Source organism: Homo sapiens, chromosome 3 (genome assembly GCF_000001405.40).
Source record: "Homo sapiens chromosome 3, GRCh38.p14 Primary Assembly".
NCBI classification, from domain to species: domain Eukaryota; kingdom Metazoa; phylum Chordata; class Mammalia; order Primates; family Hominidae; genus Homo; species Homo sapiens.
In genome coordinates this window covers 46,965,360-46,986,721 of record NC_000003.12, presented here as the reverse complement: position 1 = coordinate 46,986,721, position 21,362 = coordinate 46,965,360, and the positions used below count along the sequence as shown (strand labels likewise).

The window sequence follows — 21,362 nt, the reverse complement described above, 5'->3', positions numbered from 1 at the left end:
GCCCATGAGGACCATGCGGGCCCCGATCCTTGCCTCAGTGGCCCCACAGAGACCCCTAGCTGCCTTCAAAAATGTCCCAATACTGTCTTCCTCTCTTCTGCCCCTCAGTCAAGCTAGTCACTCAAAATGTGAGTCTTCCTGCCAGCTGCAGCTCTACTGAGCACCTGAAAGCCCAAATTTGACCGTGTCTAACCCCTCCCCATAAAGGCTCAACTGCTGAGCAGCATTCCAGGCTGCTGGTCCAACCAGAACCTGCTTCTCCAGCTTCCACCTCTCCCCCTCTGTGGTTCACATCCTCCTATCCAGGCCTTTTCCCACCCTATGCCCCACTGCCTTGTGTGACTTGGGCTTTTGGTACTTGAGCAGGAACCTCCCACCCTCCTGGTGGCCATCACCTTGATCAGCCTTCCCAGCACAGGGGTGGGTCCCTCAATCTCTACATACTCCTAGAGTATGTAGATAGTACTTTCTGTCCCTAGAACCACACCCTTGGCCTGTCCAGTCCTGTAAACTTTCAGCAGATTGGGCTGAGCTGGGTTCAGGGCTGGGACAATCAAGACAGCCTTCAGGGGCTCTGAAAGGGGATGACGAGGTCTCCAAAGCACAGTATTAGGCAGGGGTGGGGTGGCTGCCTGTCCTGCCTCCCTGGGTCTCACTGTTTCTCCCTGGAAGACCTCAGGCCAACTCTGACCTAGGCCCCATGGCTTGAGACTGCAATGTGTCGGGGTACGGGAGTCCCTCAGGGAGCCAGGGTCAGAGGGCAGAGAATGGCAGGGGACGAGAGCATGGTGGCAGTGCTGCATGTGAGGGTCCAGGGCCTGGGAGGAGTGGCCATGATGCTCAGGCTTCCCATGCCCCTCTCAGAGCTTCTGCCTTGGTCGGTTGTGCCAGCTCTGAGCAGGAACACGGGTCAGGGACAGTCCAGCCCCTTGCCCCAACCTAACTGGGTCAGGGCCCCAACCCTGTCCCCCACTGAAGGCAGGTCGGGAGCAGCCACACCTGCCAAGCCCTCTCCAGGGTCCATAGGTAAGTGATGCCCAGGTCCTGCAGCAGGGGAGAAGGTTGTGGGAATGTGGAAGGCCGGTGTCCCTGGGAAGAGGGGGTCTCATGTGCACCACCACAGAGACCCCAACTTATGCCCAACTAGCTGTGAGGGCACTTGAGAGTGCTGGGGGTGAGGGGCTCCCGAGGGCTGCTTAGGCTCAAACAGTCCCTGGGTGGGCATGGAACTGCCACTCCTCTGGAATTCTGAAGTAACCTGGAGGGCTGAGGGCTGGTGGTTGTGACATTGGTGGGGAGTACAGGGAGTACACCTTGTTTGCCAAGCTGACAGGGATCATTGAGCTGCCTGACACCATGCTGCTCCCAGACCCTGCCTGACGTACCCCAAGGCCATTGCACAATGGGCCTCGAGTAGACATCTGTCACCATCACGGCTTGATCAGCCAGTCACATGCCCTATCACAAGCTCACATCTGAGGCCCTGTAGGGTGGTGCCCACCTCACCTGCAGCCTCCATACCCCAAACCCGCTGGATGCCTGGGCCCAAGGGCGTGAATCACTGTCTCTACCCCCACAGGTCTGCCTGTGCTTTGCTCTTGTTTGCTCTGCTGGAATGCCCCCATCAGGGGCATCAGCACCCTTTGTAAGACCCATTCCTGTCTGGTGCCTCTCACCAACCGAATCAGGTGAGGGCATGGGTTCCGGAGTCCAGTCCCCGTTCTAACTCTCAGTAGCTTGTTACTTAACATTAACCTCTTTAAAACCATCCCTTTGCTTCTTGGGTAAAAGTTCTCCAGCCACACCTACCCAACTCGAGGTCAGGGTAAGGTGAGTGGAGTTCCAGATCCAGGGGCTCTGGCCTGCCCGAGCTCCCTGAATTCCAGGCAACAACCCCCAGCCCCCTCTGTGAGTGACAGTAAGAGGCATTAATGGACCCCAGGGAAGAGCTAGGAGCAGGAAGGGAGAGAAGAGCACAGCTCAAGAGTGGGTGACTCCTCTCAGTCAGAGCTGCCTGGGCGGTAGTGAGCACTCCATCTTCAGGGACAGACAAGCAGAAGTGGGACAGGGTGGTGTTTATGTGGAATAGCCTATCCCAGGCCTAGGGGGTCCCCCCATTCAGTATCAGGACGGGGAGGACAATGTCAAGCTAAACGTGACTTCTGGCTACATCACCAGGACTGGAGGTCAGGCTTGGAGGATGTTAGGCCATGGGATGAAGCAGGAAGATGGGACTTTGCTGGGGCAGGGACAACTGAGGATAGTGGTTTGAGTGCCTGGGTGGCTGGGCCAGTCTCTCCCACTTACCTGGAGAGGGGGTGCTGAAAGGGTGGACCTTCTGATCTCCATGACACCCACCCTGCCCCAGGGCCTGACCATCCCCTTGTACTATTGTTTTTTTTGTTTTTTTTTGAGACGGAGTCTCGCTCTGTCGCCGGCCCAGGCTGGAGTGCAGTGGCGCGATCTCAACTCACTGCAAGCTCCGCCTCCCAGGTTCACACCATTCTCCTGCCTCAGCCTCCTGAGTAGCTGGGACTACAGGCACTCGCCATCACGCCTGGCTAATTTTTTTTTTTTTTTTTTTTAGTAGAGATGGGGTTTCACTGTGTTAGCCAGGATGGTCTTGATCTCCTGACCTCGTGATCTGCCCGCCTCAGCCTCCCAAAGTGCTGGGATTACAGGCGTGAAACACCGCGCCTGGACACTATTTTTTTTTAAGCAAGGAAAGCATAGATTTATTGAAATGAAAGTACACTCCACAGAATGGAAGTAGGTTCAAGCAAGCGGCTCAAGAGCTGACCAATCCCTTTTACTATCACTAAGGAAAATGGGAATTTCCTTCTAGGGTCCCCATAGACCCCATGGTAACTGACCCTGTTTCTACGGGGACCCCACACTTCCCCATCAGCTCCCCAGTTGTCATAACAACTCCAGGAATCACCAGTGCCCACCCAAGCCTGGGCTGTGTGCTCATCTCCCTATCACTACAGGCCCTTCTCCTTCAGGTGCCTTGGTAATAGAGGCAGGGGACCAAGCACCAAAGAAGTGACTCCACCTTCCCTTTACCCATTTCAGGAAGGTAAACTGAAGCCCAAAAAGGATATGACCAGATAAAGCCAGGTGCGGTGGCTCACGCTTGTAATCCCAGCACTTTGGGAGGCTGAGGCGGGCAGATCACAAGGTCAGGAGTTTGAGAGCAGCCTAGCCAACATAGTGAAACCCCGTCTCTACTAAAAATACAAAAATTAGCCGGGTGTGGTGGCACACGCCTGTAGTCTGAGCTACTCGGGAGGCTGAGGTAGGAGAACTGCTTGAACCCGGGAGGCAGAGGTTGCAGTGAACTGAGACCATGCCATTGCACTCCAGCCTGGGTGACAGAGTGAGACTCTGTCTAAAAAAAAAAAAAAAAAGGAATATGACCAGGTAAAGTACCGGGGGAGTGGAGGGCCTGACCAGGTTTCTGAGAGGCAGTAGAGATCATCAGTTAGGGAGAGGGAACTCTCAGGGAAGTGTAGGCAGGACGAGGTTGCCTCCAGCCTGACCTAACCTCCCTGAACCCTTCTGAGGCCTCAGTGGCATAGCTGGACAGGTCAGCTTCTGCTCCCTCCTGTCACCTGAGGGTTTGTTCTGCCCTGAACTTTGTGACCCTGAGTGCCCTTCCACATTCAGTGCCCCCTCACTCTGTGACCCCATTCACTGGAGGGGTTGCTGAACATCACTGCTGCTCCGGCCTGAACAGGGGCCACTCATCTGCATGCTATGTGGCATTAACTTTTATGGGCTGCCCAACCGCCAGCCTGTCAGGTGCTGTCCCCAGTCCCCCAAGACTCTCCTGCCCTTCCTATGCCTACCCTGGGGGAGCTCTGGTGGGCTCTGAGTCCTCTAGATGAGCCCCCACCTGTCCACCAGGCCTGCTTGACTAGCTCTGCCCTGCCCCAACTCCTGACAATTTGCTTCTTGTCCCACTGCTCCTGCTGTTTCTTCCTCTCAGCCTTCAAAGCCCAAACTCAGCCTCCTCTGGGGTGACTTCCTGACTGGTCACTGCCATGGGACCCACCTCCTCTATCCAGTCATTCAGCTAATACCCAAGGAGCACCTACTGCATGTGAGGTCTGACAATCGTAGTAGGACCCTGCCTTGGTTTCCCCACCAGGGCCCTAAGGAGCTCCAACTGAGTGAAGTCCTGGGATGCTCTGACCCTTCCCTCTTCCCTCAGCAGCCACCCACAGCCCCCTCCCTCACTATGAGGCCCCCAGTTGAGCCGGGCCCCCAGGGGGAGGGGGTGGGTGGGTCTAAACCTGGGGTCTTTAAGGAAGAGGAAGGGCAGGAAGGAGTTACTCCCCCCTCTCCATCCCCACCCAGACCCACAACTGGGGAAACAGGTTTGCCAGCTGATGTCAGCTCTCACTGCTGAAGGGAGGGGTGCAGGTGTTGCTGGCTGGGTGGCTGGCCAACTAAAGGGTCTCTAAACACCCACTTTCAGCTCTGCCCCTTACCTTGCACTCCCCCTCCCCAAGCACACACACAATAGGTCCCTAACAGGACTCAAAGTTGCATAGCCTACTCCTCCCTGGATTGGGGGTTCCAGGATCAGGGTCAGGAGCAGGCGGGCAGGAAGGCGAGCTGGGAGGCTGGCCCTAGCTTCCTCTTCCCAGGCAGCCTGGCCCCGCCTGGCTTGGGGGTTTGCTGTTACATCCTGGATTTGTTTGCCTGGCCCCAGGCTGCCCACTGTCTGCTCAGGCTTCCAAAGCTACAACCTGCCAGCCTATGCTCCATACCTGCCCTGCGAGGTGAGGAGCTCCGGGAGGGGGAGGCTCAGCACAGATATGAGCCATAACCACCTCCTGAGGGGATGGGGGGTGGCCATGTACAGAGCTCAGCTAGATGGGGCATCAGGAGGCAACCATGCTGGAGTTACTGTCCTGGGAGATACCAAGACACTCCCAGCAGCCTGCCACCCAGGCTGAAGACCTATCATTAACATCCCTCACACTCACCAGCTGGTTTAAGCCCCCTTTACCTGCCCATGCACCTAGAGCCTGCCCATAGCTATGGGGCAGTCCGAGGAAGGAGGACTAGGGTAGGCTTCTCTTCAAACCCTCTGCTCCTTCACAACCACTGGGGATGCAGGCAGAGAAGCTGGGGCGAGGGGACCCAATGGGGCCAGGAAAACAGGAGCCTTCTCTGGTCTGGACCAGCTATAATGGCTACCTCTCCACAGAGTCCAGGAAGCCCCTGAGGTCAGGGCTGTGTCAGTTTTTTATTTTTATTTTATTTTTTTGAGACGGAGTCTCACTCTGTCACCAGGCTGGAGTGCAGTGGCGCGATCTCGGCTCACTGCAACCTCTGCCTCCCTGGTTCAAGCGATTCTCCTGCCTCAGCCTCCCGAGTAGCTGGGATTACAGGCACACCCCACCACGCCCGGCTAATTTTTGTATTTTAGTAGAGATGGGGTTTCACCATGTTGGCCAGGATGGTCTCGATCTCCTGACCTTGTGATCTGCCCGCCTCGGCCTCCCAAAGTGCTGGGATTACAGGTGTGAGCCACCGTGCCCGGCCAGGGCTGTGTCAGTTTTACAGGCAGGAAGCAGAGGCTCAGAAGTCGAGTTCGATCTGAGTTATACCAAAGAGGGACTCTACTCCATGCCTGGCCTCCTGCTGGGGCCTGGACCTCTCACAACCTGAGCGGACTGAAGAGGCTGTGGTCCTTCTGGCCTGGACTCCAGGTCCGTGGAAGACAGTGGGCCAGCCTCCTTATGGAGGGCCAGCGTGTCTGAGCATGAATTCCCCCCACTGACAAACTGTTCAGGGCACACAATGGTCCATTGTGCCCAGGGCACACCTGAGCCAGGAGCATGATGCCAGGCAGGTGCAGGGAGGGAGGTGCTGGGTGAAGGGGAGGGGAGTGTTACCCTGGGATCCCTCCCTGCTGTGGGTACAGAAGGAAAATGGGGGACTATGTGTGTGAGACGGTGTGAGTGATACCAGGTTCTCAGCTGATGGGACACCCACGTCTGAGTCACTCCCCTCACCTTCTGACTCCACCTGAAGTATTTTCTGAGATGGGTGGGGAGCTCAGGAGGAACGGGCCTCCCTCCAACCTTTTCAGACATCCCTCAGGGCCTCAAGGACCCACCCTCACCCTGGGCATCCAGAGGAAAACCTTTTCTTCTGCTCCTAGAGAGGTCCTGGGTCTACCCCTCAGAATGGGGGTGGGGTGGGGTGGGTCATTTCAAGTCAGGGAAGAGCTTATCACAGCCTGTTCGCTGGGGTGTGGGGGGATGCAACTCAAGAAGGACCTGAAGTGGGAGCATTCCCCTTCCACACACCTCCCTACCTTGGCCCACACCCCCAGACCCGTTGGCCACGACCACCCAATCAGGCCGCGCCCAAGGGAGAGGCAGCTCATAGACAAATTGAGTCCCCCTCCCCCTAGCCTCCTGGCCAGTCTCCAGGTCTCTCCAGGTCTCAGTTTCCCCATTTGTAAAAAGGCCAAGTGTCCGGCCGCCTCGGCCCAGGCCACTCTCCTCTAGCAAGAAAGACTCAGGCTGCACGGTCCTGCTCGCGGGGGTGGGTTGCTATGAAGTGCACGACCGCGAGCTCTGTCCCCAAGGCATAAGTGCCAGAGGCACCCGGCGGGCTGGGGGCACACACGTGTGTGCGGAGCCGGAGCATGCCCTGCGCGCGCGCGCCCGCGCGCGCGGCTACGCGGCCCCAGCGGCGCGGGGCGCCAGGTGCAGCAGGCGCGGGGCGCGCGAAGCTGGGGGCACCGCGGGTGCGGGTGCGGGCGCGGGGCGGGGCGGGCTCACCTGCGCGTAGTAGAGCAGCCACAACTCGTACAGCCGCTCCGAGGCGGCCATGGCCCGGCCCGGCTCCGGCCCTGCTGCGCGCCACCTGTCGCCGCCTCCTCCGCGCCGCCCGCCGGTTGCCCTCGGCCAGGCCCATGGGCGGAGGGCGTCACTCCGGGGCGGAGCGGCGCGGTACTACTGGGGAAGTCTGCGGCTGTGGCCTCCGCGGCGCAGAGCCACCCAAGTCTGCTCGCTCCTCCTCCTCACTGCCGGCCGCCGCCCAGCTTCCTGCACTTCGCTGCAGTCACCGCCGCCCCGCCTCTCCTGGGACCATGTAAAGGGCGGAGAGCCTGGCAGGAGGAGGGGCCTATGGGCCGGGCGGCCCGGGAGGGTGCCCCGCTGCCCTGCCCCACCAGTGCCATTGGAAGGGCCAGCCTGAGCCTCCGGGACGAGGGTCGGGGTGAGGAATTCCAGACTTCCCCAGGGTCTGAATCCGCCCAGGACGCTGCTCGCCTGACTGCATTTGCCGCCATTCAGGGAAGGGGCGGCGGGCCGCGTGGAGGTGGCGAGGGTCCTTCAACAATAATCTCCACCACCACCATGACGACCCCTTGTAGCGCTTATCAAATGCCAGGTGCTACTCTGTCGCTTTATGGGAAGACCGAAACGCAACTTTTGAGCTCTAGCTGTTTGTGGAGTGTGATGGCGGGAAGTTAGAGAGTAGCAGGACTAGCCTGAAATACCTTCGGGGCCGCGGTGCCCTCCCAGATCCCAGAGAGGCTTAGACCGTTGCCACGGGTCCCCCTCCCTCCTCCAGGAAGCCTTCCCAAACGCTCCAGTGGAGGGGCTCCCCCCATTCCCCAACTCCAGGGCCCAGAACTTGCTTCACATATGTTGTTTCTTTAACCTCAACAGGTGGGTGCCTCATGGCTCTGTTTTTTGTTTGTTTTTGAGACAGAGTCTCACTCTGTCGCCCAGGCTGGAGTGCAGTGACTCGATCTCGGCTCACTGCAATCTCCGCCTCCTGGGTTCAAGTGATTCTCCTGCCTCAGCCTCCTGAGTAGCTGGGACTACAGGCGCGTGTCACCAGGCCCAGCTAATTTTTTGTATTTTTAGTAGAGACGGGGTTCCACCGTGTTAGCCAGGATGGTCTGGATTTCCTGACTTCATGATCCACCCGCCTCGACCTCCCAAAGTGCTGGGATTATAGGCATGAGCCACCGCACCCGGCCGGCTCTGTTTTACAGATGGAGAAACTGAGGCCCAAGTTGACCAAATGAGGACCACTTGGGCAGCAGGGGCAGGGACCCAGGCTTGACTGACTCTTTTTTGGGTCCCTGCCACCATCACCCCGTGCCCCCTTCCCCATCCCCTTACCTCACAGTCTGGACACGGGGAAAGGGGCACGGGGTGATGGTGGCAGGGACCCAACCCCTGGTGTTGGGCAGGGATCAGGCTCTTTGTTGGGGCTGGGGAGAAGTTTTCTGGGCCCAGAGGGGTGCTACTCGTTCCAGGAGTTGACCAGTCTGGAGACTCCTAGACCTTGGTTGGCCAAGACAACAGAGACCCTGTCCTGTTTTGTTCTCCCAGCTTCTTGGTTCACCTCTGGCCTTTTGTCCTGCTTCATCCATCATAGCTCTGAGCTGAGGTTTCCTGAGCACCTCCAAACTGCATGCCAGGCCTTGGCAGAGCAACCCATCCACTACAGGGAAGAAGGCTTAGACAGACCCAGGTTAGTGAGGACAAGAGGGTTAGTGAAGGGAGGGCTAGATCTGCAGTCTGTGGCCCATGGGCCTCTGAAGGGAGTTGGAAGGGGAAGAGTGGATGTCCACCTGTAGCCAGCTTGGGAAGGGAAGACTCAGGGAGGGAACAGCCTAAGAGGCTAGTTGTCCCCTGGCAGTGGAGGTGGAGAGGGGGCGGCATGGTCTCCTATTCCCAAGTGAGAGGGGGTGTGGCTTTGGGGACCCCCACATACTGAAAGAATATCTTGACTTCAGCCTAAGTGGTCTCGCGGTTATCAGGACACTCTAGTTCATGCAGGAAAGAAGACTCTGGCAGCTTCTGCTGGGTAGCCATGAATCTTGTGGCGACTTGCAGTCGAGGCCACCCCAAGTCTTTCTAAGCTGGGGATTGGGGGCAGTACTTGAGGCCCACTGGACCCAGGTTGGGGTTTGCTCTTCCCCGGGAAAGGTAACTTGACCCTGAGGACTTTGCTGCTCCAGGAGGGGATGGGAATGAGAGGGGATCATCTTTGAGTCCAGAGGGAAACAGCCATACAGTCAGGTCCCCCTCACTGTGCAGGCTTTGTCTGAGCTGAGAGTGGTCACAGAGGGGCTTAGGGGCGCTTGTCAGGTGAGTCCGGGGAGCCACTGACAGCTGCAGAGGTGTAAGTCATACCTTGTATTAGGGTGGGATCGAAGTGGAGGATCAGGGAAGGCTTTTTTTTTTTTTTTTTTTTTTTTGAGACGGAGTCTTGCTCTGCTGCCAGGCTGGAGTGCAGTGGCACGATCTCGGCTCACTGCAACCTCCGCCTCTCTGGTTCAAGCGATTCTCCTGCCTCAGCCTCCCGAGTAGCTGGGATTACAGGCACGCGCCACCACGCCCAGTTAATTTTTGTATTTTTAGTAGAGATGGAGTTTCACCATGTTGGCCAGGATGGTCTCCATCTCCTGACCTCGTGGTCCGCCCTCCTCGGCCTCCCAAAGTGCTGGGATTACAGGCGTGAGCCACCGCGCCCGGCCCAGGGAAGGTTTCTTGAAGGCATTCGAGCCTTGTCAGGTCAAGTGGACAAGGATGAGTCAGGGCATTCCAAGAGGCCAGCATGGAGTGATTAGTGTGGTTAGTACTTGGGCAAAACCGGAGCGATCGACGCACTCTTTTCTCCTTCTCTCAGGTCTGAATTCCACTTGCTGCTCTTTCACTGATCAGCGTTGGATAAATCGAGCCTTAGCTTTTTTTTTTTTCTTTTTTTTTTTTGCTGGCTCCCCACCCACTAGGCAAGTTGTCCGGAAGAATAAGGGCGGGGCGGGGCGGGGCGGGGCAAGGCGGGGAGGGCTCGCCCATAATAACCCCGCATTGATTGGCTTTCAGGACCTCCCAGTCTCTCATTCTCGTCCTTGGATTGGCCGCGAGACATTTATCCACTCTCCTTAGGCCTGCGCGATGCAAGACGGGAGAAAAGGAGGGGCGTACGCGGGCAAGATGGAGGCAACTACGGCTGGTGTGGGCCGGCTAGAGGAAGAGGCGTTGCGGCGAAAGGAACGGCTGAAGGCCCTACGGGAGAAAACCGGGCGCAAGGTGAGAAGTGTGGAGTGAGGGTCGCAGTTGAGGCGTCCAGCGTTCGGGGTCCGGGTCGCGCTTGAGGAGAGCAAAGGGCTAATAAGGAAAGACAGCTGCCGAGGGCGCGCATGCGCGGGCGCTAACGCATGCGCGAGAAGACGGCGCCCTCCCACGATGTCTGGGGCTGCTTGGCGTGGGACTCCTCTGGCGCTGGTGCGGTCGTCGCGCATGCGCGGGGGTGGGCAAGGCAGTGGTCAGCGACCCGCAGTCCATCTGACTCCTGCTTCCCGGGTGTTGCTCGTGTAGGTATCTAGGGCTGCCTGTAGGTTCAGATGCTTGTTGGGTTAGGCGTGATTTGTTCCGTTCCTCTATGGCCTAGCTGGTCTTTAACCCCCGCCTTCGATTCTGAGTCAGACAGACTCCCCAGTCCGGCAGCACTCCTTGGACAGGGCAGCAAGTGACAGCAGTGGGTATACAGCCGGAGTCGTTTCGTGCAAAAATCAAAAAGAGGCCGGGCACGGTGGCTCACGCCTGTAATCCCAGTGCTTTGGGAGGCCGAGGCAGGCGGATCACTTGAGGTTAGTAGTTCGAGACCAGGCTGGGTAACATGGTGAAACCCCGCCTCTACTAAAAATACAAAAATTAGCCGGGCGTGGTGGTGCGCGCCTGTAATCCCAGCTTCTCGGGAGGCTATGGCAGGAGAACCGCTTGAGCCTGGGAGGCAGAGGTTGTAGTGAGCCGAGATCTCGCCACTGTACTCCAGCCTGGGCAACAGAGCGAGACTCCGTCTCAAAAAAAAAAAAAAAAAAAAAATCGAAAATAAAAGATTTAGCCGGGCGCGGTGGCTCACGCGCCCAGTACTTTGGGAGGCCGAGGTGGGCGGATCACGAGGTTAGGAGATCGAGACCATCCTGGCTAACACGGTGAAACTCTGTCTCTACTAAAAATACAAAAAAATTAGCCGGGCGTGGTGGCGGGTGCCTGTGGTCCCAGCTACTTGGGAAGCTGAGGCAGGAGAATGGCGTCAACCCAGGAGGCGGAGCTTGCAGTGAGCCGAGATCCTGCCACTGCACTCCAGCCTGGGCGACAGAGCGAGACTCCGTCTCAAAAAAAAAAAAAAAAAAAAAAGAAAAGATTTATTTCTAACTAAGGGTGGGCCTTAGAAATTGGGAACGAGGGCCGGGCACAATGGCTGGTGCCTGTAATCCCGCACTTTGGGAGGCCCAGGCGGGCAGATGGGTCAGGAGTTCGAGATCAGCCTGATCAACATGGTGAAACCCCATTTCTACTGAAAATACAAAAATTAGCCAGGTGTGGTGGCAGGCACCTGTAATCCCAGTTACTCGGGAGGCTGAGGCAGGAGGATTTCTTGAACTGGGAGGCAAAGGTTGCAGTGAGCCGAGATCGCGCCACTGCACTCCAGCCTAGGTTACAGAGTGAGACTGGTCTCAAAAAAAAAAAAAATTGGGAAAAAAGAAGAGGGCCTTAGTTCTTTCTTTGGGGATGGGCCTACTAGCCTATTAATTGCCATATTCGGAAGCATTTTTCTTTGCTGTCGTTTAACAGCAAATGAAAAGTTCCATTTCTACTTTGTTCATCTTTCCAACGTAATGGAGAGGAAGAAGAATTCTGAAGTTCACTACCTGTGTGCAAACCCTAGTTTGCTTTTTTACCTGGACTTGGGACACATTGCTTCATCTCTCTGAGCTGGGTTTCTTCATGTCTCCAGTGGGGAATGACAGTCCGTACACATTCATTCTCATTGGGTTATTGTGAGATCTAATGGGATAATCTGTGTGAAAGGGCTACAGAGACAGACCAATGAGGGCCGTAGTTTTAGATGGGTGAAAACTGTGTCCTTCAGTGTGTGAAGTAAAAGAATGTTAAATAGCTAGACCTGTCAGAGATGGGGGGCACTTCCCACTTTCCAACTGAAAAAACAGGCTGGACAGTCTGACCCCTATTTTCCTTACTGCATGGCAGTCTGGGGGTCCTGTGTGAAAGTGAAAAGGGAAGTAATAGGGTGTGAAAGCTGGCTAGAGTGGCTTCTGCTTTTGTTGGCTGCCTGTGGAACATATCAGACAGCCCCTAAATTGCCTGTCCCAGAGAAGCTCAAACCTCAGCCTTTCAAACAATGGCTAGTTCACCTGAGCTGTTCGCTTGGATTTAGGGCAGGTTATTGGGGCCGGGTTTGAGGTCGGAATGCAACGGACAAAATAGCATCCACAGAGCCCATTGCCAGGGAAGGACGTGCTAGATCATCAGGAGAACTGGCTTTTAAAGAGGGATCCTCTCAGTGGGCTGGAAGTATGGCCTGATTGTTATTTTTTCTATGTTTTAAAATTGTGGGAAAATACACATACAATTTACTATTTTAACCATTTTAAATGTATAATTCAATGTCCAGAACGTTTTCATCATCCCAAACTCTGTACCCGTTAAACAATAACTCTCCATTCCCCCTTTCCCCAGCCCCTGGCAATCACTGTTCTACTTCCTGTCTCTGAATTTGACTACTCTAGGTACCTCATGTAATCAAATCATACAGTATTTGTCCTTCTGTGACTGGCTTATTTTACTTAGCATGTCTTCACACTTCATCCATGTTGTAGCATATGTCAGAATCTCAGTCCTTTTTTAAAGGCTGAATAATATTCCGTTGTGTATACCATGTTTTGTTTAGTTGGGTTGCTTCTACGTTTTGCCTGTTGTGAATAACGCTGCTATAAACATGGGAGTACAAGGCCTGGTGCGGTGGCTCACGCCTGTAATCCCAGCACTTTGGGAAGCCGAGGTGGGCAGATCACGAAGTCAGGAGATCGAGACCATTCTGGCTAACACAGTGAAAACCTGTCTCTATTAAAAATACAAAAAATTAGCCGAGCGCGGTGGTGGGCGCCTGTAGTCCCAGCTACTTGGGAGGCTGAGGCAGGAGAATGACGTGAACCTGGGAGGCGGAGCTTGCAGTGAGCTGAGATGCGCCACTGCACTCCAGCCTGGGCGACAGAGTGAGACTCCATCTCAAAAAAAAAAAAAAAAAAGAAAAGAAGAAACATGGGAGTACAGATACCTGTTTGAGTATCTGCTTTAAATTCTTTTGGGTAGATAGCCAGAAGTGGAATTACTGGATCATATGGTAATTCTTGTTTTTTTTTTTTTGAGATGGAGTTTCGCTCTTGTTGCCCAGGCTGGAATGCAATGGTGCAATCTCAGCTCACTGCAGCCTCCGCCTCCTGGGTTCAAGCAATTTTCCTGTCTCAGCCTCTCGAGTAGCTGGGATTAATTTTTTTTTTTTTTTTTTGAGATGGAGCTTCGCTCTTGTTGCCCAGGCTGGAGTGCGATGGCACGATCTCAGCTCACTGCAACTTCCACCTCCTGGGTTCAAGCGATTCTCCTGCCTTAGCCTCCCCAGTAGCTGGGATTACAGGTGTATGCCACCACGCCCAGCTAATTTTTTATTTTAGTAGAGACAGGGTGTCACCATGTTGGTCAGGCTGGTCTCAAACTCCTGACCTCAGGTGATCCACCCACCTCGGCCTCCCAAAGTGCTGGGATTACAGGCGTGAGCCACCACACTGGGCCTTTTTTTTTTTTTTAAATTCGGGTGATGTCAGGTGAGGAGAAGGGAGATCAGTCTCAAATCTGTCTTTTCGACGAACTAAAATCAGGGGTTTATATAGCAGGGAGAGGAATGTAATTATGTGTAGGGAAAACAGCTGGATCATATGATAATTCTGTTTAGCTTTTTGAGGAAACACCATAGTGTTTTCAGTAGTGGCTGCACCATTTACATTCCCAGCAGCAGTGTGCAAGGCTTCCAGTTTCTCCACATCCTCCCCAGCACTTATTATTTTATTTTCTTTCTTTCTTTTTTTTTTTTTAAAGGAGTCAGGAGTCTCACTGTGTTGCCCCAGGCCGGTCTTGAACTCCTGGGTTCAAGTGATCCTCCTGCCTTGGCCTCCAAAAATGCTAGGATTACAAGTGTGAGCCACCAAGCCCAGCCATCTTCTTTTTTCGTTTTTTTAATTATAACCTTCCTAATGGGTGTGAAGTGGTGGTATCCCATTGTGGTTTTGATTTGCATTTCCCCAGTGATGAGTGATGTTGAACATCCTTTCATATGCTTGTTTGCCACTTGTATATATATTTTCTTTGAAGAAGTATCCAGATTCCTTTTGCCCATATTTTTAATTGGGCTCTTTTTCTTGTTATTGAGTTGTCATTGAATTGTTCATATATTCTGGATATTAAATCATTATTAGAGATGAGATTAGTGATATTTTTTCCCATTCTCTGGATTATCTTTTCATTCTCTTAGTAGTGTCATTTTTTTAAAAATTAATTTTTTGTAGAGATGGGGGTCTCACTGTGTTTCCCAAGCTGATCTCAAACACCTGGCCTCAGGCAGTCCTCCTGCTTTGGCCTCCCAAAGTGTTGGGATTACAGGTGTGAACCACCGCACCTGGTGGATAGTCTCATTTGCTGCGCAAAGAGTTTAAAATTTGATGAAGTTCAATTTATCTGTTTTTGATTTTGTTGCATGTATTTTTAGTGTCATATTTAATCCCTATAGTTCTTGAGTGATTTTTTTTATTAAGGTGAATGCCTGGGGACAGGACAGGTAAGGGTCTAACCTTTGAGTTGATTTTCCAGCCTGTGGCCCTTTCTGCTGGACCTTTTAAGTGGGGAGTCTGGTGAGGAAGTATGACTGCCTGCTGTGGCCAGATAAAACCCCTTGAGTCTCCTCCTTCAGAGAGGAAGCGGCTTCACATTTTTAGTTCAGGTTTCTGATGTGACAACAGACACCAGGATTGAGCACCTTCTCTGCCTGCACTTGGAGAGCACCTGTCTGCCCCATGAGGATGGCATCTTGCTGGTTTCCTAGCACTCAGTGGCAGGTCCTTCATTGAGTTCTTACTGTGGGCATGGTTTTGCTGGAGGCCTTAGGAATTTCAGGCATGGAGTTGGTTTTCCTCACAGTTTTATCTTTCTTCCTAACTCTCACCAGACTATAAACTCATAATTTAGTGATATTAAGACAATTCAGGGTCCTGAGGTTGTGGCAGATGGAAAGAGACAAGATTAGGGGTTGCAATGTTTCCGTGTATTATTCTGCGCAAAACTCTCTTGTAGTCATGCAGCTGTAGTTTTACAAAGACGTCCTGGTCAGCCCACCTGATGCCACTTATTAGTGAGAGGAGCAAGGCAAGAGGCTGAGGAGAGCTGGGATGTCCAAGGCTGAGGAGGGGAAGTAATGTCTCCTGGATTCCAGGATTCCAGCCCATGCAAGACCCCCTGGGGGAAGGGGATTCTGTAGAGGACACAGCACTGCCTGAAGCAGCATCTTGTAGGTCAGCCAGTTCCCGTTGACACGCAGAAAGACAGTACTGCTGGGGTTCATTTTCTGGGAAAGCCAGGCAGAGCCTGAGGAAGCTTCATGGGAAGGCAGCATGGAACTTGAGCTGAGCCACGGAGGATGGGGAAGTGGGAGAAGGTCATCGAGGTAGCTGGAAAGGAGAGTGTTCCCAGGGAGCATTTTAGAGGTGGGAACATTCAGGTGCATAGAGGTGAGAGTGGAGATGCTCCAGGGAGTTTGACAGCAAGCACTTGGCAGTGATACAGGGGCAGGGGTACAGTCTGAAAGTGCTGGACTGGGGTACTCTGGTAGCCAAGTTTTGCAAGAGCCAGGGTTTCCAGCAGGGATGGTAGCCAGCCTGGGCACACTTTTCTGTATTGTATTTGAACCTCATTTCCTGATGCTCATCCAGAAGTTCCTGGCTGGGTGAGTAGGTGAACAGTTCAAGGCTGTGTGGATGAAACTCTGGCATCTCTTTACAGTGCTGTCCGGCAGGGCAGTGTGAGGCCACTCTGTCCTCCTTTGACCTCTTTCTTCTTCAGCAGCCAAATGGAGGCTCTCTAAAGGTGATGATTAACTTGGCATAAACATGCCAAGCTTTCCTGAGCGATTGCCCTGAATTGGGCTGTCTCTTGCTGCTCTGAGACAGGGAGACTGGCTGTCTGGCTGACCAGCCCTTGGGGCTGAGGTCTGGCTGTCAAGTTGCAGGTTCCAGGCAACCAGCAATTCCTGGTTGTCACCTGGCTCTAGAGATTAGAGCAGCAGTGTTGCTCACTAGAACTTTGTGCAGTGATAGTGTTCTTTAATCTGCACTGTCTAGTACTGTAGCCATGGGCCACCTGTGACTTTCAAGCCCTTGAAATGTGGCTACCGGCCAGGCACAGTGGCTCATGCCTGTTATCCAGGGGTGTCCAATCTTCTGGCTTCCCTGGGCCACAATGGAAGAAGAATTGTCTTGGGCCACACATAATATGCAGTAACACTAATGATAGCTGATGAGCTTTAAAAAAAAAATCACAAAAAATATCTCATAATGTTTTAGGAAAGTTTACGAATTTGTGTTGGGCTGCATTTGAAGTGGTCCTGGGCCTTGGTCTGCGGGTTGGACAAGCTTGTTATAATCCCAGCATTTTGGGAGGTGGAGGCAGGAAGATCACTTGAGTCCAGGAGTTTGAGACCAGCCTGGGCAATATGACAAATCCCCATCTCCACAAAAAATACAAAAAATTAACCTGGAATGGTGTCGTGCACTTATAGTTCCAGCTACTTGGGAGACTGAGCAGGGAGAATTGCTTCAGCCTGGTAGGGGCAGAGGTTGCAATGAGCTGAGATCACGTCACTGCACCCCAGCCCGGGCAACAGTGTGAGACCCTGTCTCAAAAAAAAAAAAAAAAAAAGAAATATGGCTACTGCGACATTTAATTTTAGTTAGTTTACATTTAAACAGCCACACTTGACTCGTGATTGCCTTATTCGACGGTGCATCTCTGGAGGACTTGCTCCCTTCAGCCTGACTTACAAGAAACTGTGTCTCTACCTGAGCTCCAGTTGTTGAGCGCTAAGGGGCAAGTGGAAACCCAGATGACCATCACATCAGCCTTGGGAGCCCAAAGCTGGGCAGAGGGCTTGGAAGTTGGCCATATTCATGGCTGGTATCTCCATCAGATGCTGATTTGGGGCCATCTGTGTATGTACCCTGTGGAGTTAAGTGCTGGTGATTCAGAGTGGTATAGTTGTGATTTACACACTCAAGAAATGGGAGTGCGGGCCAGGTGTGGTGTCTCACGCCTGTAATCCCAGTACTTTGGGAGGCCAAAGTGGGCAGATCGCTTGAGCTCAGGAGTTCAAGACCAGCATGGGCAACATAACAAGACACCATCTCTACAAATATAAGTAAACAAAATTAGCCGGGCATGGTGGCCCGCTCCTGCAGTCCCAGCTATTCGGGAGGCTGAGGTGGGAGGATTAAAAAACAAACAGAAAGAAAAAAATGCACAGTGCAGAGAGTGGGAGCAATGCCAAGGTAGAAGGCATGCACTAGTACTCTCTGACTTGGGAGTACTAGGGAGGGTCCCTGGCCAGGTTGGGGGAGGGTAAAAGAGGGAACCAGAGGGAGGGGCTAGCAAGTCTTGCTGGAGGAACAGAGGCAGTGGGTGAGAGGCCTAGTATGCTGGGTGAGGAGTCAGACTTGTCCGTGTCCTGATCATGTCTCAAGAAGTTGCCTCTATCTACATCCCATGTGGCCACATCCCCAGGCCCAGCAGCCTGGTTGCAAAGTCAGCCAAGGCGATCACTGCCGCCTGTATTGACAGCTTTTGGCAGGTTGGCAGTCATAACATTTGCGTGGCAGTTGTGGCAGAATCGTGTTCCATCCCTGAAGCAGGACTTTGAAGCAGGGTGTATTGCTTCATCCCTGTCTGATAGACCAGGAAACCCTGGGCTGAAGGAACATCCCACAGTCGTGCTTTGAGTTGTTGCTGACCCTAGATTGTCCCTTAGGCTCTGGCCTTCTATCCCTCTACACCTCTCACCCCCAGGTGCTTGGGAATAAGTACCTCCCGGGAAGGAGCCTCCACCCATCACACATATAAACTGTAACCAGGCTGCCAGGTGGAGGCCTAGTGGTGGAGTGGAGAGAATGGACTTTGGAGACAGATCTGATTTAAACCTCTGCTCCATTAATCGCATCTATGGTACTCAGAGCAAGCCTTGAAAAATCTGAGCCTCTCTCTTGTCTATAAAATCGAGATACAGCTTCTGAACTCATCAGTAGCTAGGAGAACAGAGAAAGATGCTGTCTATGAAGTGTCTAGCTCGAGATCTTGCACACAGGCCTTTTATAAACGTGGATGCCTGTCCTTTCTTCTTTACCCTCTTGTAAGTGGGGACATCCAGGTGGTCCTGCAGCCTTCTCCGCTGGGTGACAGTGGGTGGAACTGGCCCGGTTCCAGTGGAAGCAAAGAGGTCCTTCTCCTGCACCCTGGCTTTACTCATCCTAGCCCTAATTTTTTGAAGATGGAGTGTTAGTGCAAAGTGTTAGATTAAGAAGAAAATGGATTTGCAGTCACAGCCGAGGTGGAGTGTGAGTGCCCGTTCTTCCTAAGGACTCAGCTTTTCTGCCCAAGCTCTCAGACTCCAAGGTTGTGGAGGCAGTGAGAGGGAGAATCTTCTGGGTGGGAGATTTGGGGTTCCCAACACATACCTATGGTGAGCCAGCATTTCCTTCTGAGGCCCTCAATATGTTCACGTATGAAATGATGGTGTTGGATTTATCTGAGTTTCTCAGACCTACCTGTTCGTTGGGTTGTCTTGAGAGACAATTTGCAGTCCTTTTTTCTGGCCCTACCTCAGACCTATTGTGGTCTTGGTATATAGCCTATAAATTCATGCATTCTTAAAGTTCCCCAGGTGATTCTGATGAATTTTTCTGGACATCTCTGATCAGTCCCTGGCATTCTCTCATTGGAAGAAGGATACTTTTTTTTCCCTTGGAACCTTAGCTGCCCATGCTCACTGCAGGAACTCTGCAGCTAGCCACTAATAAGTATTTATTGAGTACCAGCTGTATGACAGGCCCTGGGGATACAGCTATGAACAAGACTTCCTCCTTGCCTCAAGGGGCTTCTATGGAAGGAGTGGGAATACTTAGAAACAAGGAACATGGTGTCCCTGTTTATGTGTCCCAGGAACTTGGGAATGTGGTGTGTGTGTTGGGGAGAGGCTGTGCAGCTGCCCAGGCTGGGAAGACCACCACCTGGGAGTTCTGAGACGGGGATGGAGGAGTGAGATGCCAAGATCTAGGGAAGAGCATTCCAAGCTGAGCAAGACTAGCTTGGCATGTTTGAGGAGTAGGAGTAGAGTGAACAGTGGGAGGTATGGAAGGGGGATGAGGGTGGAGAGGGCCTGGGAGGCTGGGCTAGTTAGAAGGGGGCCTTGCAGACCACCAAGGCTGGACCTCAGGCTAAGGGGGTTGGGGAACCACTGGAGGTCTGAGCAAAGCTGACATGCCCTTGGATGACTGTGTGTGGAGGTAGGAGGCAGCTGCAGGAGCCCAGGTGTGAGGCAGTGCGCACAGACAGGGTTCCTGAGATGGCAAAGTACAGGGGAGAGGGGCTTTGAAGGGGAAGGCAAGAGTCTGGCTTTGGCCACATTAAGCCAGAGATGACTGTTAGACAGGTAAGCGAAGAGAGACATAAGCAGGCATCTGGACTAGAAACAGATACAGGATATCAAGCCCTGGGGCTAGACGAGGCCCTCTGGTGACAGAGCTTAGACCACAGAGACAGAGGACTGGGAGATCATTCTGTGCCCTGAGGCTCGCTCTGCAGGTATTTAGCAGGAGTTAGAAGAATCCAAGGAAACTTGGTGGGGTGGGGCGGCATGAGGACAGTGGGGCTGAGAGAAGCCAGGCGAAGACTGGGGATGGGTTTTGGCAAGACAAGGTGATAGGTGAGCTTGGTCCAGCTGTTTCAGGGAAGTGTGTGGTGCCAGTGGAATCCAGGCCAGCTGGGTTGAGGTGCAGCATGCTGGCCAAAGCCTTCCTGTAAATTAAGCCTCCTTTCCACTGCTTGAAGTCCTCACTGGACCCCAGCCGGGACATCCATCCCTCCTCTCAGGAGGGTAGCGCCAGTCTGAGGCAGTGCCCTTATAGCCTTGCTGTCTGAACTCACCTGGTGTTTGGATGCTGGCAGCCTTCTTGCTAGTGCTCAGGTCTTCATATTGCCACTCTAGCAACTCTAGCCCTTTTCTTTCGTTCTTTCTTTCTTTCTTTCTTTTTTTTTTTGAGACAGAGTCTCACTCTGTCGCCCAGGCTGGGGTGCAGTGGCGCAGTCTCAGCTCACTGCAGCCTCTGCCCCGCCCCGTGCTCAAGCCGTTCTCCTGCCTCAGCCACCTGAGTAGCTGGGATTATAGGTGTGTGTCACCGCGCCCGGCTAATTTTTGTATTTTTAGTAGAGATGGGGTTTCGCCATGTTGTCCAGGCTGGTCTCAAACTCCTGGTCTCAAGTCGTCTCCCTGCTTTGGCCTCCCAAAGTGTTGGGATTATAGGCGTGAGCCACCGTGCCCAGCCCGCTTTCTTTCTTTCTTTCTTTTTTCAACCTGGGAGCACAGATTCAAGTTGCCGTAAATGTACACTCCCCCCTCCCCTGTCCTTTCTGTCCCTGCACGTAGGTCCTGAGGGCTGCACTGCAGCTCCTACAATATGACCACTGCTTCTGGGTCAGGCTGGCCGTTTCTCTCATGATTCCCTGCTCTCTGGACAGGTTGCTTTGCCCACCTGGCTCCGCCACCCTGCTCACCTTGGGATGTGTAGATAGGTAAGTCTCTTCACATCCTTTTTAGCTGGAAGATGGCCACAGTACCTCCTCCCTCCCAGGATAAGGGTTAAGTGAGATGGTGTGTGCAGAAGGGAGCTGAGAGGTGGGAAGTGTGATGTGTGCATTTATTCTTTCTCCTATACTCTTATTTTACCTCTGGTTGAGGGCCCCTTTAACTTGTACCTGAGACACCACAGATGTGGAGAAGTAAGGGACCAAACACAATCACACAGGGCCAATCCCTTGTCCTCTGGAGATGGAGCCAGAGGGATGGGCCAGGGAGCCCACCGCCTCCTGGCCAAGTTTGGGGGTGCTCTTCCTCTGGGATAGAATTGGTGCTGCCCTCATCCCTTGGAGCTTTGCAAGGAGGGGCTCTGCAGTGAGCTACAGGGAAGAGAATGGGACCCCGTTCAGTTTGGTCTGATATGCTGGGGAGAAACACCTGGCCTGGGCGAAGGGTGAGCCTCTCTCTGGATTTCCCTCAGAGGGCACGGTTTCCATCGAGGCAGATGGGTGGCTATTCAGGATCCTTCACGGTTTAGCTCACCTGTGGTGGCTGAAGCACCCTCCATGTAGCAGAAGAGGCACTAGACAGCCACAAGACAAGGTTCCTCTTTCTTGCTG

General features: G+C 53.5%; 2 protein-coding genes across 11 annotated transcripts in view, besides 15 other annotated features; one reads left to right on the top strand and one right to left on the bottom strand.

Annotated features, from left to right (window-relative positions):
• Positions 1-7,056, bottom strand: part of NBEAL2 (neurobeachin like 2) — a 30,036-nt gene extending 22,980 nt beyond the window's left edge. For all 8 annotated transcript variants that reach the window (NM_015175.3, XM_011533533.3, XM_006713072.4 and 5 more), the window contains exon 1: positions 6,810-7,056. In NM_015175.3, coding sequence (NP_055990.1) covers positions 6,810-6,860 — 51 coding nt within the window. In that variant the 5' untranslated portion in view covers positions 6,861-7,056. The remainder of the gene's footprint in view (positions 1-6,809) is intronic.
• Positions 1,160-1,912: an enhancer, noted in NCBI's record as "H3K4me1 hESC enhancer chr3:47026300-47027052 (GRCh37/hg19 assembly coordinates)". NCBI's record gives its function as "activates a minimal SCP1, AML or CMV promoter by ChIP-STARR-seq in primed H9 embryonic stem cells {active_cell/tissue: H9 hESC(primed)}" and the evidence as "EXISTENCE:reporter gene assay evidence [ECO:0000049][PMID:30033119]".
• The window catches only part of CCDC12 (coiled-coil domain containing 12), a 60,265-nt gene continuing 43,630 nt past the window's right edge, over positions 4,728-21,362 (top strand). Inside the window, exons 1-2 of one of the 3 annotated variants that reach the window (NM_144716.6) lie at positions 4,728-4,790; positions 9,879-10,085. In NM_144716.6, the coding sequence (NP_653317.2) occupies positions 9,951-10,085 (135 nt within the window). In that variant the 5' untranslated portion in view covers positions 4,728-4,790; positions 9,879-9,950. Of the gene's footprint in view, positions 4,791-9,878; positions 10,086-10,220; positions 10,370-21,362 lie in introns of those variants that run through there. The other 2 variants (NM_001277074.2, NR_102269.2) reach the window with 2 other exon arrangements.
• Positions 5,221-6,001: an enhancer, noted in NCBI's record as "H3K4me1 hESC enhancer chr3:47022211-47022991 (GRCh37/hg19 assembly coordinates)". NCBI's record gives its function as "activates a minimal SCP1, AML or CMV promoter by ChIP-STARR-seq in naive H9 embryonic stem cells {active_cell/tissue: H9 hESC(naive)}" and the evidence as "EXISTENCE:reporter gene assay evidence [ECO:0000049][PMID:30033119]".
• Positions 6,002-6,782: an enhancer, noted in NCBI's record as "H3K27ac-H3K4me1 hESC enhancer chr3:47021430-47022210 (GRCh37/hg19 assembly coordinates)". NCBI's record gives its function as "activates a minimal SCP1, AML or CMV promoter by ChIP-STARR-seq in naive H9 embryonic stem cells {active_cell/tissue: H9 hESC(naive)}" and the evidence as "EXISTENCE:reporter gene assay evidence [ECO:0000049][PMID:30033119]".
• Positions 6,002-7,039: a biological region, named in NCBI's record as "H3K27ac-H3K4me1 hESC enhancer GRCh37_chr3:47021430-47022210".
• Positions 6,700-7,039: a silencer, noted in NCBI's record as "silent region_14300". NCBI's record gives its function as "represses an Ori minimal core promoter by ATAC-STARR-seq in GM12878 lymphoblastoid cells {active_cell/tissue: GM12878}" and the evidence as "EXISTENCE:reporter gene assay evidence [ECO:0000049][PMID:35858748]".
• Positions 7,140-7,329: a silencer, noted in NCBI's record as "silent region_14299". NCBI's record gives its function as "represses an Ori minimal core promoter by ATAC-STARR-seq in GM12878 lymphoblastoid cells {active_cell/tissue: GM12878}" and the evidence as "EXISTENCE:reporter gene assay evidence [ECO:0000049][PMID:35858748]".
• Positions 8,685-9,385: an enhancer, noted in NCBI's record as "H3K27ac hESC enhancer chr3:47018827-47019527 (GRCh37/hg19 assembly coordinates)". NCBI's record gives its function as "activates a minimal SCP1, AML or CMV promoter by ChIP-STARR-seq in naive H9 embryonic stem cells {active_cell/tissue: H9 hESC(naive)}" and the evidence as "EXISTENCE:reporter gene assay evidence [ECO:0000049][PMID:30033119]".
• Positions 9,725-9,864: a silencer, noted in NCBI's record as "silent region_14298". NCBI's record gives its function as "represses an Ori minimal core promoter by ATAC-STARR-seq in GM12878 lymphoblastoid cells {active_cell/tissue: GM12878}" and the evidence as "EXISTENCE:reporter gene assay evidence [ECO:0000049][PMID:35858748]".
• Positions 9,955-10,264: an enhancer, noted in NCBI's record as "active region_19805". NCBI's record gives its function as "activates an Ori minimal core promoter by ATAC-STARR-seq in GM12878 lymphoblastoid cells {active_cell/tissue: GM12878}" and the evidence as "EXISTENCE:reporter gene assay evidence [ECO:0000049][PMID:35858748]".
• Positions 9,955-10,790: a biological region, named in NCBI's record as "H3K27ac-H3K4me1 hESC enhancer GRCh37_chr3:47017422-47018123".
• Positions 10,089-10,790: an enhancer, noted in NCBI's record as "H3K27ac-H3K4me1 hESC enhancer chr3:47017422-47018123 (GRCh37/hg19 assembly coordinates)". NCBI's record gives its function as "activates a minimal SCP1, AML or CMV promoter by ChIP-STARR-seq in primed H9 embryonic stem cells {active_cell/tissue: H9 hESC(primed)}" and the evidence as "EXISTENCE:reporter gene assay evidence [ECO:0000049][PMID:30033119]".
• Positions 10,791-11,493: an enhancer, noted in NCBI's record as "H3K27ac-H3K4me1 hESC enhancer chr3:47016719-47017421 (GRCh37/hg19 assembly coordinates)". NCBI's record gives its function as "activates a minimal SCP1, AML or CMV promoter by ChIP-STARR-seq in primed H9 embryonic stem cells {active_cell/tissue: H9 hESC(primed)}" and the evidence as "EXISTENCE:reporter gene assay evidence [ECO:0000049][PMID:30033119]".
• Positions 18,764-19,693: an enhancer, noted in NCBI's record as "H3K4me1 hESC enhancer chr3:47008519-47009448 (GRCh37/hg19 assembly coordinates)". NCBI's record gives its function as "activates a minimal SCP1, AML or CMV promoter by ChIP-STARR-seq in naive H9 embryonic stem cells {active_cell/tissue: H9 hESC(naive)}" and the evidence as "EXISTENCE:reporter gene assay evidence [ECO:0000049][PMID:30033119]".
• Positions 19,694-20,624: an enhancer, noted in NCBI's record as "H3K4me1 hESC enhancer chr3:47007588-47008518 (GRCh37/hg19 assembly coordinates)". NCBI's record gives its function as "activates a minimal SCP1, AML or CMV promoter by ChIP-STARR-seq in naive H9 embryonic stem cells {active_cell/tissue: H9 hESC(naive)}" and the evidence as "EXISTENCE:reporter gene assay evidence [ECO:0000049][PMID:30033119]".
• Positions 19,991-20,162: a silencer, noted in NCBI's record as "fragment chr3:47008050-47008221 (GRCh37/hg19 assembly coordinates)". NCBI's record gives its function as "represses an EF-1alpha promoter that drives an FKBP-Casp9 reporter gene in an ReSE screen in K562 erythroleukemia cells {active_cell/tissue: K562}" and the evidence as "EXISTENCE:reporter gene assay evidence [ECO:0000049][PMID:32094911]".